This window comes from Homo sapiens, chromosome 20 (assembly GCF_000001405.40).
Source record: "Homo sapiens chromosome 20, GRCh38.p14 Primary Assembly".
Taxonomy (NCBI): Eukaryota; Metazoa; Chordata; class Mammalia; order Primates; family Hominidae; genus Homo; species Homo sapiens.
The window spans coordinates 40,581,134-40,597,107 of record NC_000020.11 but is presented as its reverse complement, the minus strand read 5'-3'; the positions used below and the strand labels follow the sequence as shown (position 1 = coordinate 40,597,107).

Below are 15,974 nucleotides of genomic sequence, written 5' to 3'. Positions count from 1 at the left end.
TAAAAAGCAAAAATGGAGACAAGTGACTAGTGTTTCCTGAGCACTTGTCATGTAACTGTCCCTGGCAAGACTCTCTTTTCATTTAACCCTGTGTGCTGGGTGCTACTATCATCCTCATCTCACAGAAGACAACACAGGTTCTAAGAGATGGAGCCACTGTCCAAGTTCAGAGTGAGTGAGTAGTGCCCTTCACCACTATGCTGTATGGCCTTGTGTTAGAGTTGGGTTGGAAAGCATGTAAAATCCTTAGTTCCAGGGTCCTGCCTGGACCCTGGTGGTGGATCCTGCCTCACCCAGGCAGGATGGGCAGTGGGGGCAGGTTTCTGAGTGGAAAGGGCAGTGGGAGAAGGGCACGAGGGGTCCTGGGAAGACCCAACTGAGCCAGCTGGGTTTTCTCTGCTATCACCCCTCCCTATCAGCTTGGTCTCTCAGAACCAGTCCTCTTCCCACACAAACACTGTGTAATTGCTTGATCTGGCCTAGTGCACAGGGTAGGGGTGGACAGACGTTTATTTTTCATTAAAATGTTGGAATGAAATTGTGGGAGGTGGTGCTCAGCAAGGGGAGCTGCCTCAGAAAATGTGCTGACGGGCCCAACCTTATCAGCTGGAAACACCTGTTTCTGGTACCTTCTGCCACCTATCCAAGCCTTGCTTTTTTTTATCTGAAACTACTAATATTGCCAACCTTACCATGGCTCTCGAGATGGTGACATAAGATAATGCAGGGATGGAAGTGAGAGGAAGCAGGAGGTCAGGATTTAAATTCTCCTTCTGTCACTCAACAAGGTGGATTTTGAGCAAGTTTCTTACACCTCCCTGGGCCTCAATTTCCTGATCTGAAAGCTGGGATATATTACTTATCCTGTAGGGCTGTCATGAGAAGCCAACTTCATGCTAGATATTAAAATACCTAGCAGAAGCCTGGTGCACAAGTGCTCAGTAAACCTCAAGATGTTTGTAAACCATGAAATATTGTTCAAGAACTTTGCCCTTCTTCCAATCCCAGGTTGAAACAACACACATTCCTTAGGAGATGCCTCTTGGCTGTTGAGTGGAGTAATCACTTCCAGGAGGCTGTCTGGGGCACCTGCCCCAGACGGATACCTCTACCTATTGTGGAGGCTTGTAAACCTCTACGACGTCTACAAACCTCCAGAAAATGTGACTGAAATTCAGCCAATTGTCTCTTTTTTTGATCACATGGTGACAACCAGCTTCTTTGACTGTATTGGACAGGTGTTTGGGTCTCCCTCCCCAACACCCACCCCATCCCACCCCAATGTCCATTCCCATTCAAGATGGCAACCTTCTTGCTGAGATGAAGCCACCACAGAGCAGGAAACCAGGCAGGGCAAAGAAGGGTCTCGGGTCATGGCTGCAACTTTCCTCTTACTCTTCCTTACGTCATGAAGCCTGGGAGATTCTGAGCTGCTGGGCTTGGGGGTTCAAGGACCATTTGGCCTTGCAGCCCTGGTGAAGCTGAAACTTCACATCCACAATTGAGGTGAGAATGGAGTATCAGGTGGGGGCTGATCCTGAGCTGTGCCCCCAAATTTCTGGTCTCTTCCTTGGTAACACATGTATAGATGGGCTGAACTGGGCTGGGCCCATACTTGGACTTGTCCTGCTCTTCTCATTTTCCCTTAACAGGCCACACTGTCTCTCAACTTCAGGTCTTGGCACATGCAGTTGCCTAGCTTATATGCCTGGAGCATGCCTTGTTTTCCGTTTCCCTTCACGTTGTCTAATGGGATGTCTCAGCATGGACATCATTTCTCCAGTAAGCCTTTCCTGACCCTACTGGTCTAAAGTAGAGTCTCTGTGGCCCCCTCTAATGCCCCATCACAGTACAGAGTATTGTGCATAGACTGTATTGCAAGCCCTGGCTGCTTGTCAGTGTCCCTTTTCCCCTTAGACTATCAACTCCCAGAACACAGGGTCTCTTGTTTATTATTATACTCCCAGTATCTGGTGCATAGTAGGCACTCAACAAATACTTGTTAAATGAAGGAATGTCCATGTGGGCATCCAAATCTTGTTTTCATGTGTCAGGTCAGAGGCACTCAGGTCGGGTATCCTTATGTAGTAGCTGGAGAGACTGCAATTTAGGACTTTAACCACAAAAATGTTAATAGAGAATACTGAGCTCATGTTCTAGAATGAGAAACCTATGTGGACAACTTGAGGACACTAGTACAGAAAAAACTACCCATGATATAGTATGGGGTATACAAGAGCCTGATATAAGCTGCCATTTCACTGTCCCTATGGGTGAAAACCCAAGGCTAGAAACAGCCCAGAGAATGGATTATATTCTGGTTCTTCCTGGAAATACTGCTGACTTCCTTCTGAAGATACCTTGCTCTTCTTGCCTACACATGTCTGGCCTCACATTACTGTTTGTTTGCAGAAAATCTCCAGCTTCTGCTATGTTTTGACCAAAGTTTACTTTATGGAACATCAATGGCATTCCCCAGTATTCATAAGGAGATATGCTTCTAATTTATTCTGGGAAATAGTTGCCCTGGCTTTCTGTTCGAGGGACCACCCCTATCTCCCTACCCAGTGTGCCCAGAGCTACATTTACAACTCATAAACTTAACCTGGGCTTCTAAACTCCCTGTGGTCCATCCATTATTCAAGTTGTTGGGAGGGATTAATGAAGGGGATTATTCTTAGCCTGCCACCTCTCTGGTAGGAAAAGTAACTTCTCGAGGATGGTTTGAGTTAAAAATGGATTCCTCCACCAGGTGGAAACATGGCCACTGTGTCAATTCATGGTAACTCTGTTGATGCTCCCCCTCTTTCACACTCATAAGGAGGTTCATCTTGTACTATTCACAGCTACTCCAGCCTTCCTCTTCCTCCTGACTGTGGCAAGTAGTCTGATTGGCTCATAGGCATTCATTCCAACATGTTGACAAATCCTGAACTATGTGCTGGGGATAACAAGGTGATTATGACACCAGTTACTGTTTTTGAGGAATTCAAAGTCTGGATGCAAAAAATTTAAATAAATAAGAATACATGGGAGTTGCTTTCAGTGGATAACAAGGAAAACGGTATTCCAGGAAACATGTGCAAAGGCACTGGGGCCTAAAAATACCTCTTGTGCTCAGGGAACTGGAAGACACCCAAAGTGACAGAACTTGAGGGAACCAAAAAGAAGCAATGGCTGGAAAAGCTGTAGGCTCAGGCTGTGGCTAGGATGTCTACTAAGTTGCATGTAGGTGGAGGAGAGCACTGGGTTCTCCCGAGCAGAGAGTGATATTGTCAAAAGGGGGTTTCAGAAAGACCCATCTGGATCCATCCATCTAAAGGGGAAGTCCTGAACCAAGGTCAGACCAGAAGCCGATGCCTAGAAGAGAGCTGTGAAAATGCAAACCCATGGACAGCTATTTTTGGGAAGGAAAATTCTGACACAGGCTAGTTTTGAAGACAATCACTTTTTCAAGACAAGTTTGGATTCCCTCGTTGGGTCCCCTTGGTATGATAATTAAATGACCCCAAAGCCCCTGCCCAGGACAAATTCAGATCCCAGTGGCCTCAGAGAGGGAGGGATATGTGACAACCACAGTCCATTAAGCCCTATGAAGGGTGATAACTTCTACCTTTTCTTCAGTCTCCCATGCCTTACCAGGATTGAGTCTTATCCCAGGAGCTTCTGAATGAGCTGGAGGAATTGCAGACTCATTAGTTTCTGAAGTGTGCCCATGGTGCCTGGTTGCATTGGCAGAAACTTTAGAAATGTGCTGCCCATTAGGACATTTTAACCAACATGACATAATTTAGTCACACTGATCTGGTCAACTGGTTTCACTGCTGACCTTGGACAAAATCCTTTCATTCTCTGGGTATCAGTTTCTCTGCCTGAAAATGGGGAAGAGAAAAATAAATTGAAGATCTTTCTACCCTTAATTGCTTACAGGTCTAAACTCTAGGTTCCTGGACTCATGTCCTTCAGGGCTGGTGGCTGTGACTGATTGGCTCTCATGACCAGTCCTTTGGCAATATCCTACTGTGAGCATGTGTCATGTTCTTGAAGTCAACTTTCTACAAACTTACTGGCAGTGTTCATTCTTGTTGACTCAAGAGGGCACCCATGTTAGGCTCTAGAGAAATTTTGTACGAGGACTTTGTACATGTGGTGAGGATGCAGGTTGTGTTTTTACTTGTCATTGGAAAAGAAAAGAGGGAATATGGGTGTGTGTGGATAGTGGATTGTGAAAACTTGGCCAAGGAATTGGGCGTGGTTTCCAATACTTGGAAGATGGACTTTCCTCCTAGGGTCTTCTGTATTTCAATTCTTGAGTTTTATACCATAACCATTTCTTAAATTGTAGTGTTTCTTAGGTTTTCCTCTTAGCTCTCTTCTCATTCCAGAATCCTCTCTGGGTTCCATGACTTTCTCGAGGCCAAACTTCACTCCCAACTTTTGAATCTGTTCCTTGTCTTCTGGGAGCCTCCTGTTCTATGTCCTGCAGCTCCTTTAACTCAGCAAGTTCCAGCCTGAATTGATCCCCTTTCCTGCCAAACTTGCTCCTTCTGTGTTCCCTGTTTCAGGAATGACACTGCTCTCCACCCAGGCACCATGGGTAGAAGCTGGGAGTCATCCTGGACTCCTCCCCAATCCTCATTCCTACATTCATCAATCACAACATCCTGTCTGTTTGGCCCCTGAAACATGTTAGAGTCTACTGTGTTCTCTCCAGCCCAACAGCTCCTTTCCCAAGTTCAGTTGGTATCGAGTTCAGAGACAATCCTCATCATCTCCTGGTTAATTAAAATAACCTCTTTCTATTTGGTTTCTCTGTCTTCCAGTTTGACTTTCCCATTGCTGCCACAGTGTTTTTCCTGAAACCCCAATTCCAGCCATGTCTATCTTTTACTTAAGATATTCCATGAAGTCTTCATGACTTACAGATAGAGCTCAAATTCTCTTGCTTGACATATGAAGCTAATGAACTCTGGGTTTGCTCTTGTGCCCAACTTTCTATCATGACATTCCATAAATGCATGTTATTTCAGCCACAAGGGAGCAACCGATGTTTCCTGGATGCACCTTCTCCTTTCAAAGCTCCATGCCTTTCCACACATAGTTCCTGCTGCTTGGGTTGCCCATCCTTCCAGCCCTTTTTTTACTTGACCCTGCTGATCTATGACCCCTGTTGACCTCTCAAACCTCACTCCTTACCACTATTCCCCTACTTTTGTGCAACTTTCACTGCTGACACCCAAGGCAGTCACCTTACCCCACTGAATGGGCTCCTTAATACATGTCAGGATGGCTGCCAGAGGTGGCCATGACTATCTACTCCAAGGGCTTTTGAGATGGGCCAATGAATCCTTCTCACCAATGCCCTATTTTGCAATGCCCTATTACACATCTGATGTGTAATGTGGCCTTCTGGGTTGATCGTAAGCCATGTGGCAAGGGGTAGATATTTCTTGTGTAAATAAAGCCACTCTTCTTACTTCTTCCATAAGCCCCCACCTGTGCTCCCACTGATGCCTGTGAATGAAAGACAGTAATGTGGTCAACACTGAAAGAGATCACATTCTAAAAATGCAGTGATTGTAGACCAGAGAGTTCCAGACATGGTTGGAAGATACATTTTTTCTATGTGTAAAATTCTGAGTGGCAAATTTGACATAAGTGAAAAATGAATTATCATTCACATTTTCCTACATATTCTGAGTAAGACTTGCATTTGTAGTCTTAATCAATGAAGCTTAGTAACAACTTCTTGAGTCACTGGAAGCCAGTATTCATAGGTGGCACAGCAGATGATGCAGCATTGTGAGTAATGATGTAACTGGCATTAAAAAATGCTACTAGGGAACTGCATAGGCATGGAAATATATATTGTTCCCGAACAAACAGGTTCTGAAGTGCCATGGCATCATGAGTAAATATAGCATTGATACTTTTTTCTCATAGTGGGGCATATAAAACTAGCCAGAATCAGTATATGTGAAAATAAAGTACACAAAGAGATGTTATTAGGATTCTCCAGAGAAACAGAACAAATATACAAGACATATATATTCATATATATGTCACACACACAGGTATTTTATGTTGGGTTATCTCAAAGAACCCTCTAAATTTGGTAGCTTTCTGTCCATCTGCTTTTAAGGGATGTGAAAACAGGAGTTTCGACAAACGGGTAAAACTGTATGTTTACTAAAGGGAAAAAACCCAAGAAAACCTCAATAAAAGCATGCCCACAAGGTACTGCCGCAAAGATATCCAGTTGTGAAGCTCTGTAAGAGTGAGCAGGAATTATTACCTTAATTTTAGAGATAAGGCTCACACTGCTAGTAAGAGATATAGGTAGGATTCAAGTACTCTAAATCTGATCTCAACATCCATGTTCCTTCCATTGTATAGTCCAGAGATGAGTGAACTAGAAAGCAATGTGACTCCATAGCATCATCTCTGATGGGTGTGGGTGTTACAGACACAAATATTAAGAAAGCGAATACAGCAAAACCCCAGGAGAAATGACCCATGTTTATAAGAATCATGTCAGAAAGCCTAGGCTCAAGAAGAGTGAAGGCTTTTGAAAAACCACTAAAAATAAAAATAAGGATTTTTATTGCACTGTTTGGAGATACATCGTGGGAACAGGAGAGTCCACAGCATGGGCATGACGGTGTAATGTTGAGAGTAATCAGAGAGATCACCAAGCTGCTCAATTCATCAAGGCAAATGGCCTTTAATCTGGAAAGATTGAAACTCAAGATAAGAGATAGGAGAGATGCAAACACCTCACTGCTCTTAATTAATTCAGCTCTTCAGTTCTATATGAATTATAGCCCAGGGTTCTGAAAAGACTTGCACAATTCTTTGTGGAATCCCTGTCAGCCTTATTTGAAAAATGGGGAGGGAGAGGGATGCCAGAAGACTAGGGATGGGCATGTCTTATCTTGATCTTTAAAACCTGGATTCTAGAAATTGTGGGTTCAGGCCAGTTTCTGGCAAAGAACTAGAAATGATTACTTAAGTGGTATATGGGTTATGTGTATTTAGAAAGAGAAGTAGGGATCAGTAGGAATAAGAGCCATGATAGATTCACCAAGAACTAGTAATTCCAAAATGTCCTTATTTCTCTTTTAAAAAATAAGCTTCCTAGGCTGGTGCTGTAGATATTTGCTATTATCATAATTATGTCTCCACCATTTGGACTTATATAGGGGAACTTGCCCCTTAATGGATCTTGGTGAGATGTGGAGCCCATCTTTTACCATAAAACAGAAAATGTCACGTGCTCCATTTCCCAGCCTCTCTGGCAGGACTCTGGCAGGTGTTCAAGGTTTCAGAGCATCTGCCAGAGTTCTCTGGCCAGAGAGGCTGGGAAATGGAACATGTAGAATTTTCAGTCCTCTTCTGACGTACCTCTCCCTCCAAGTTTTTCAAATAAGACTGACAGGGAAACCACAAAGACATAACATAGAGGCAGCCACCTATGACTTCAAGTTGGGTTTAAGAAATGCCAAAGAGCAGTGACTGTAGGTGAAGAATCAAACCTATCAATTGAATTTCTAGGGGTGATGGTAGTAGCAACACTCAAGGCAGAATCCTCTGTCTATGCCAGTGGGTTTTGAGGGACACTAGCAACAATTTCTGCCCAGATGGGTTCTACCATATAACTTGGGGGGCTGTTCTTGGCTGCCTGATCTCTCACTGGTTCTCCATCCCTCCAGAGGCTTTGCAAGGTTCAAAATAACCTTTTATCAAATGCCTTCTATGCCTAAACTAGCCAGTCATTTTCTGTTGCTTGCAACAAATCTCCCTGAAAGGATGGTCATATCTGGTAAGTCTGGGTAATGCCAGACAGAGTATCTTGACTGTAGCAAGATTTGTCAAAGATCCTCATGTTAAAATTAAGAACAAGATGAAGAATAGTGGGCTGCAAACTATTGTAGCGAGGTGAATAGGACGTTTATGTCTCCAAATGTTGAGTAATTTTTCCAGGCTGGTCTCTAAGGACCTCTCTAGTGACTGCTATGGCAGGCAGAAAGATTCTCCAAAGACGTCTTTGTCCTAATCCTCAGAAATGTGAATGTGTTATGTAAGGTTACACAAGAAGGGGAATTAGGTTGCCGATGGAATTAATGTGTTAACCAGCTGTCCTTAAAATAGGGAACTTATTCTGGATTATCTGGGTGGGACCAATATAATTACATGGGTCCTTATAAGTAGGAGAAGGAGGTGGAAGAGAGAGTTGGCGAGGGGGGTCTGAGACATGCCGTATTACTGGTTTTGAAGATGGAGGAACGGGGCTGTGAGCCAAGGAATGTGGGTAGCTTCTAGGACTTGAATAAAACAAGAAAAGAGATCTCCCCTAGAGCCTCCAGAAGGAACACAGCCCTGCTGACACCTGGATTTTAGCCTAGTGAGATCTTCATTGAGCATCTGATCTACAAAACTGTAAGATAATAATTTGTGTATTTTTAAGCCATTAAGTTTGTGACAGAAGCAATAGGAAAGTAATACATATTCCTGTGTTTCTGCAATTGCCTTTTCCTGGTATGACATTTTATTTATTTATTTATATCTCATTTATTTTCAAACTATACTGGGAAGAGTCCTAAGGTTCCATAGGGGTGTCTCACCCCTTCATGGCACAGGGGTGCCATGAAGAAGAGGAAATAGGGACAGGAAAGGCAGAGGCAATGGGACCCTGGGATGCCCGCCCATGCTGCCATCAGAGCCATACTGCATCTATTTTGAATATTGGGATTCTAGGAAAAAATGTTCGAAAGCCATCACTGACATCATAGAGAAAAGTTTCACTTTAAATAATAAAAAATAACATTTATTGATCACTTATATGTGCCAGATGCTGTGCTTAGCAGCTTATATAATATCTTATTTAGTCCCCATAATAGCTAAAGGAGGTAGGTATCATCTTTACAGATGGGGAATCTGAGGTTTAAAGAAATTAGGTAACTCAACCAAGTTTCCACAGCTTGCAAATGGCAGAGATGATATTTTAACTTAGACTATCTGTAACTGTCTCTAGAGTCTGCACCCTTGGGCAAGTGGGTGAAACTTCTGACTGGAAAACAACTGAGAGGAGTACCACATTGGTATAATCCAGAAACCAAACATATTTTTTATGGTGGAAGATATTTATGTGGGAAAGAGGCAAAAGCCTGCATTTGGATTCCAGAACACAATTACATCACAGTGTGGATATTTCAAGAAAATTGATCAGGTTATTTGCTCATTTATTGCAGAGAAGTGTTTCCACTGGGTGGAAGAATAACACCTTCTGAGTGTGTTACAAATCTGAGAGTCTAGGATCCTGTGATAAGAAAGTTCTTTACACAGCAGAATGGGCTGTCTCACTACATCGTGAGTGCCTCGTCACTGGTGGCGATCAGGAAAAGAGCTAGTGTGCATGGGGACAGGTTGATTTAGGGTCGTTTTTAGATGTAAGATTCTACCATCTAAAGGTTGCTGAGCATAAGGCCAAATGTCTCAAAGCCCTAGTGTTTGACTTTAAGCAACATCATCTTCCCTAGACTCACCTGGCAGAAGAAATCCTAGTCTGATAGATTCAGCTTCAGGGTGGGACCCTCAATCCATGGGGCTTGGGTTTTATCCTAGAAGAAATGGGAATACACAGCAGGTGTTTAAGCAATAACCTGATATTAACATATTTGCATTTTTGAGAGGTAAGTATATCAGGGACAAGAAATTTGATTGAGAAAAGCAGCTGTTACAAAGGCCCAAGTGAGAGAGACATTTCTAGGCCAGAGCAGATGGAGCCAGAAGTCTTGGGCTGAGATGGGGAAGGGGAGGGTGGAGTCCAGGACAACACCCAGGTGAGGGCTGGGCTGGGCGGAGCTGTCCAGAACAGGCGGTGCTTGTGCCCGCAGGCTGCAGGAACACTAGGGCACAAGACCGTCCACAGGGAAGCTTGTCTGGGGAGGAGCACTGTGGGAAGTGGGTCATAGTCTTGGATGGCTCCACAGATGGATTAGTCGGAAGTGGATCAGGAGCTGGAGGTCGGGCGTCAAGACAGATGGAGCCCTGTAGTCCCTACCCCACCTGTGATTTAGGAAACAGGTGAGGACAAATGAGAGTCTGGCTATACAGACCTCTGGGTGGACTGGAGGCCGCAGAGAGGGAGATGTCATTGCATGGCTGTGAATCCCATTGACCAAGAAGCCCAGCATCACTACCCTCCCATTCCCCATCCACTTGGTGATCCCATATTTACCAGACATGAAGGAAAAACACAATTCTGGGAGACTTCGCCAGCTGCCACTTCCCCCTGGACTTCAGACTAAACTAGTTCATTCTCTTTAGAAATTCAACCACATCTACCTATTACTCTAGGAAAATCATGTTTCCCCCTAGTTAGTGTTTTGATATGTTAGTCTCTTTTAATTCTACTTATTAACACTCTGCCTCTCCTTTCCTGTACATGAAACTGAGGCTTAGTTTCATTATCTATAAAATGGAGATAATAGTAGTGACTGTTATTATATAGATAGGTAATGCATATTCAATTCTTAGCACATAGTACATATCCAGTGCAAGTTAGTTGTTGTCAGGAAGGAGATGCTAAACCAAATGAGGAGGAATCTGGCTACTCTCATGGGATCAGATGAGTCTGATACAGGGTTTTTTGGAGAGGAGAGTAGAGAGAAGAAAGAGGCATAAAAATGGAAGCGAGGCCAGGAACACAGGGTAGCAGAGTCAAGAGGGTTAGGATGACTGTTTGGGGGATGCCAAGGCCAGAAGGCAGGGAGTAGCACAATACCACATTACTCAGATGCACCTGCTCATGATTTTATTCAGCTGCTGAGTCTGACTCTCAGGTAACTCAAGTGTGCTGGTCTTAGGACAGAGCCATCTACGTGTGTATATCTATGTGCACTGTAGCCACCTGTAGAGTCTGGAAAACCTAGTTCTAATTTTAGTTTTTGGCATTTACATACTGTGTGATTTTTCCCAATCTACTTCTCCTCTCTCCATGTAAATGTCTTCAGCTGTAAAATGAAGGAGCTGGGTCACATTGTCTCAATGATCGCTCCCACCTCTGACGTAGAATGCTGAGCCAATTCCATCTGGTCCAGTATTCTCCCTGACAAAAAATGTCAACCTGAATGATAGTTTTATATGACCTTTATTGAGGGTCTACAATTTGCCAGGTCATGGGCTAGGCACTTTTACATCCATAAACACATTTGGTCTTCAGAACACATCTACCATCATGGGTTCTGAGTGCCATGTTGACAGTACCAATAGTATATTATCATCTCTATTTCTTTTATGTCTTATTACATTGGTTGAATGCTATCATTTTCCTTATGCTCTTTAGTACTTTCAACACCAATTTTCATTCTCTTTCTGAGCCCTAAATTGCTTTGGGAAACTGTCTCCCTGATTCTCCTGTCCTCCTCCAATTCTTTCCTTTATATTCCCAGGGAGACAGATCTTGTATGGCATAGATACATTTCTAGTCATTGTCAGGCTATTGACTGTGCCATAATTCCAAATACCTTGAATCAGGGTCCTCCTAGTACATAGAAAATTGTGGTTGAGGATAAGCCTTAGGCTATGGAGCTGGTGAGGGCTGGACAGGGCCAGAGACCATCCAAGCAGACTGGGTTCCAGTGGGCAATAATAATAATAGCTAACATTAATTGAACTTGTTATTTTTCTGGCATTAGGTTAACCAGTGGTTCTCAAGCAGGGCTGATGTCAGGAGATTTTGAGAAATATCTGGAGACACTGAGTTGTCACAACTGAGCAGGAGGTGGGCTGCTGGCCTATAGAAGATAGGGGCCAGAGATCCTGCTAAGTGTCCTACAAAGCACAGGATACTCCATACAACCAAAAATTATCTGGACTGAAATGTCAATAGTTTTGAAGTTGAGAAACTTTGGGTAAAACTCTCTTTGTGTGATTATTTCATTTAATCATCAAACTAAGCCTGTGAAGCAGGTACTACAATTATTATTACCATCCCTATTTTACAGATGGGGAAACTGAGGATTAGATGCATAAAGCGATTTGTCCAAATTCACCAAACTAGAAGATGACAGAGTTAGGCTATGGTCCCAAGTTTGGCTGACTCCATGTGCACACCATTACTTTGCTGGAGACTAAAAGGTCAGGTCAACTGAGCATGTAGGTCAGGACAAAGAGTATGGTCTGGGGATTGATTCTTAGAGGTATCTCAGGAGTCCAGGGCTCCCTTTAGCCCAGTAACTACCCAGCCTTGCTGCCTGTGCAAGAGAACAAGCAATGTTCTCTGAGCCCTTACCTGTTGGGGGCAGAGTCTCCCAAGGGTCCTTGGGTTGATCTGGGAGCTGACCTGACCTTGATTGTTCTTAGCTGAGCTGAGCTGAGCTGAGCTGGAGAAGGCAGGGCCACCATCCCAGTGTCTTAAGCCTCCCAGTCCTATAACTCTGACCTCTGCAGCTTTGGAATCAAGCGCAGGGAGGAGCCTGACTGACAGCTGGAGACACATGCTCTCAGTCAAGTGAGCAATGCGGCAACTGGCCAGGAGGCAGATCTCCTCCTCCAATTTTATCTGCAAACGTACTCAGAATATCAGCACAATGGGGAATCCACAAATGCATGCATGATAGTAGGACCCTGATAATGAGTGAAAGAATAAATAAAATGGGTGAATACATACATTTTCTATGAGGTCAAGCCTTGAAATACAGTGAATGAGCTGGGCATGGGTGGAAGAGGGGAAGGCAGGGCTGGGCCAGTGAAGTGATACATTCCTGGGTGGGATGGTGCCAAGTCCTCAGGATGGGCCAGCAGAGCAGCAGCTGGATCTGCATCTTATAGAACACAAGCCATGGGGGACTGCAGGGAGGTTGTGTTCTGAGCACTTTGTAGGCTTTACTAATTTCTGGACTTCATTGTTGAGATCTGTTGGCAACCAGGCTTTAAACTTAGTAACCTCCAGCCCCAGAGGAAGCAGAGCCTAGAGCCATCTGCCCCAGGACCTCCCCTGGGTTAAGGTTGAGGCCTCAGTTGGACTCACCAATTTGACTTATTATTATTAAGGTGGGAATAATTCTCAATATTCTGATTTCCCCTTCTAGGTCCTTTCAAAGACTATATTTATACAGAAAAAGTGGCTTCATGAAATCCAGGGAAACCGGCTCGAGTCACAGCACTCTGGGATCTTTGTTGTTTTGTTTCCTCTATGGAGAAAGGAGAGGAGGGGACGAAGGGAGAAAAGAAACTGAAATTCACTAAAGGTTTATTTTGGGCTGAGAACTTGTCATGATTACATAAGGGAGGTGGTGAAGTGCTGTGCCTCAAAGCGTGTTGTCAGGCAGACCCGGGTTGCCAGCGACTTGGGTAGGTGTCTTCATCTCCCTAAACCTTAGTTTATTCATTGGTAACGTGGGGATATTTGTATCTACTTTCTAGAGTTGTGATGAAGAGTTGATGAGCTAATGCACAAGATGTGCTTAGCCCAATGGCTGGTACAAAATAGGTGATCATTAAGTATTAGCCAGCGATTATGATTTTGAATCAGATACTCTTAAGCCCCTTGGGAAGTGGGACTCACTGTCTCCACTTTACATATGAGGAAGTCGAGGCTCGGAGGGGTTATTGCGATGCAGCTTTGCTCTCAGTTCCTCTGGCACGTCGTGGCTGACCTCCAAGGCCAGGTCAGGTGCCCCTTCTCTGTGCTGCCCTGGCCCCTGCACTTCCATCTCAGCTTTGTTTACACCACAGTGTGAGCCTGTTCAAAGTTACAGCCCCCACCACTCTGTAGTCCATGGGCACAGGCTCTGGGCCTAGAGGCCCGTTCTCTGTTGCATTCTCAGCACCTAGCAGGGTGCCTGGTATGTGGTGAAAACTGCCACTATATCAGCTGGCTGATAGGTAATTCAGGACCATTTGCTTTAGTGGTCTGAATGATTTGCTTCTTTCTCATAGCAATAGTGTGTGTGTGTGTGTGTGTGTGTGTGTGTGTGTGTGTGTTCATAGGAATGATGATTAAAGTGAGTGTCTGGGAACATCCCTTAGATCTTACCAGGTCTCTTCTCTTTGGCATATTGACAATGGCAAACCCCGTTTGTTTTACCTATCCTTGCTTCCCACCTCTCTCCGCCAATTTCTAAGGAATCCAGGATGCAACATAAAATTCCCAAAGAGAGACAGTAAATGTGTCATCCATCTAGAAGGGATTGGGAGTCAGTTACACGCTATGTTCGTGCAGAAATATGTAAATTACAGTGGGTTCTTGCAAGTTACATGGAAACAAGGGCAGATTCAGCATGGGGTTCTTAATCTTTCAACGACTCAGTTTATTTCTTCCACTTTTCACTCCTAGCTTATCTACCCCTCCCATCTCTCATGAGGATTGCTAAATATGGGACTTTGGCCAGCTGCTGGAGGGTGAGCTGAACTCCACAGAATAGCTGTTCCTAGTTCCTTGATTCATTCATGCATTCACTCGTTCATTGTTTTCAGCATCTATCCTGTGCCAGGTACTGTGCTAAGCATTGGGCATACAAAGCAGCACAAAGGGAGACAAGTCTCTGCCCTCTGGAGTTTATAGTCATATAGTTATGCCAAGAATCCATAATTATAAACAGATATAAGTGTTTTAAAGGAAAAACTATCATTCTTTGGAGACTTGTCCTAGACCGGATGGCCAGGGAAGACTTTCCCATGGAAGTAAAACTGAGCAGGGATCTGAAGAATGGACAAGAAGGTGGCTCATGGTTGGTAGTGGGAGATGGTTTCATACAAAGTAACCAGTATGTGCAAAGTCTTTGTAAAGAGAGTTGGAACTAAAAAAGAGAATTAGAACTAAAAGGAGGCCCTTAGGGTGAGGACATGGAAGTTGGAGGACCACAGAGTGTGAGCCAGGCTGAACAGATGGGCAGTGGTAGACTATATGGGGCTTTACAGGCTAAGGTGAGGGTTTACCCTCTATTCTAAGAAAAATGGAAGGCATAGCAGGCACTTAAGAAGCTGTAGGACATGCTTATTATTAGTTTTTAAAATATTGTTCTGGCTGCTGCGGGGAGAATGAAGGATGTCTGAGTAGATGTGGGGAGACCAGCAATGAGACAAATGTGATTGTCTAGGGGGCAGACAATAATGACTGTTTGGACACAGTGGGAGTATGGAGATGGGAACCAGAACATGGGCTTAGAGGGGAGGATGAGGAGGATGTGGGACTTGAGGCAAAGGGAATTGTCCACGGAGACTTCTAGGTTTCTGGTTTGGTAACTGGAAGATGTTGGCTACTCAGAGACATCAGTGACACTGACAAAGGGAGAAGTTGGGTGGGTGTAGGGAGGAAGATAATGAACCTGCCTTGTACCCAGATAATGAACCTGCCTTGTACCCAGTGAGTCTCAGACCCTGTGGGACATGCAAGTGTAGCTGCTGGTGGGCATTAGATATATGTGTGCATCTCTCCCATGCTGGGGTCTTTAGAGAGCCAATTCCAGAACTCATTTAAGCTGCTTTATTTCTTTGTTGTCAAGTTTTGATCAGGCCATAGTTAAGGCACCTGAGTTCCATTTCTTTCATAGTAAAGTTTTTGAGTGAGAAAATTTGGTCCTACCAATAAGAGGGGAACCTGGCTCTACTTATCACCGTGGTTAAAGAGATATAATGAAAAGCCAGCTTGAAAGGGCTTCACCTGAGCCCTAAGACAACATATTCTCTCGAGAGGCCTCTGAGCCTGGAGCTGGGAGGGGTTTCTCTCACCTGTGTAGAGGTGGTAGGCGGGTTCTATTGAGTTAGAGGTGGCATTTATCTTTATTCTGATTAAGTACTTACCTATCTTTCTTTCATAATTGTTAGTAGTGTCGTTCATTTGTTTATTGATTCCTTTAGCCAACTTTTATTGAGTATACTGTTTTGGATGTTGAAGATGTACAGAGAGTAAGCTTGGGTCTCAGGTCTCATGGAGATTGCACTCCAGTTGGGGAGGTAGGCAATAGTCA

The 15,974-nt window shown here is 44.1% G+C and overlaps 2 long non-coding RNA genes across 3 annotated transcripts in view; one reads left to right on the top strand and one right to left on the bottom strand.

Moving 5' to 3' along the window:
• The window catches only part of LOC102724968 (uncharacterized), a 75,521-nt gene that overhangs the window by 46,983 nt on the left and 12,564 nt on the right, over positions 1-15,974 (top strand). The gene's annotated exons all lie outside the window — the stretch shown is intronic.
• Positions 6,630-12,420, bottom strand: LOC107985435 (uncharacterized). The gene is made up of 3 exons (XR_001754598.2): positions 12,296-12,420; positions 9,546-9,620; positions 6,630-6,729 (listed from the first exon to the last, which is right to left on the bottom strand). It is a non-coding gene; the product is annotated as an uncharacterized LOC107985435 (long non-coding RNA).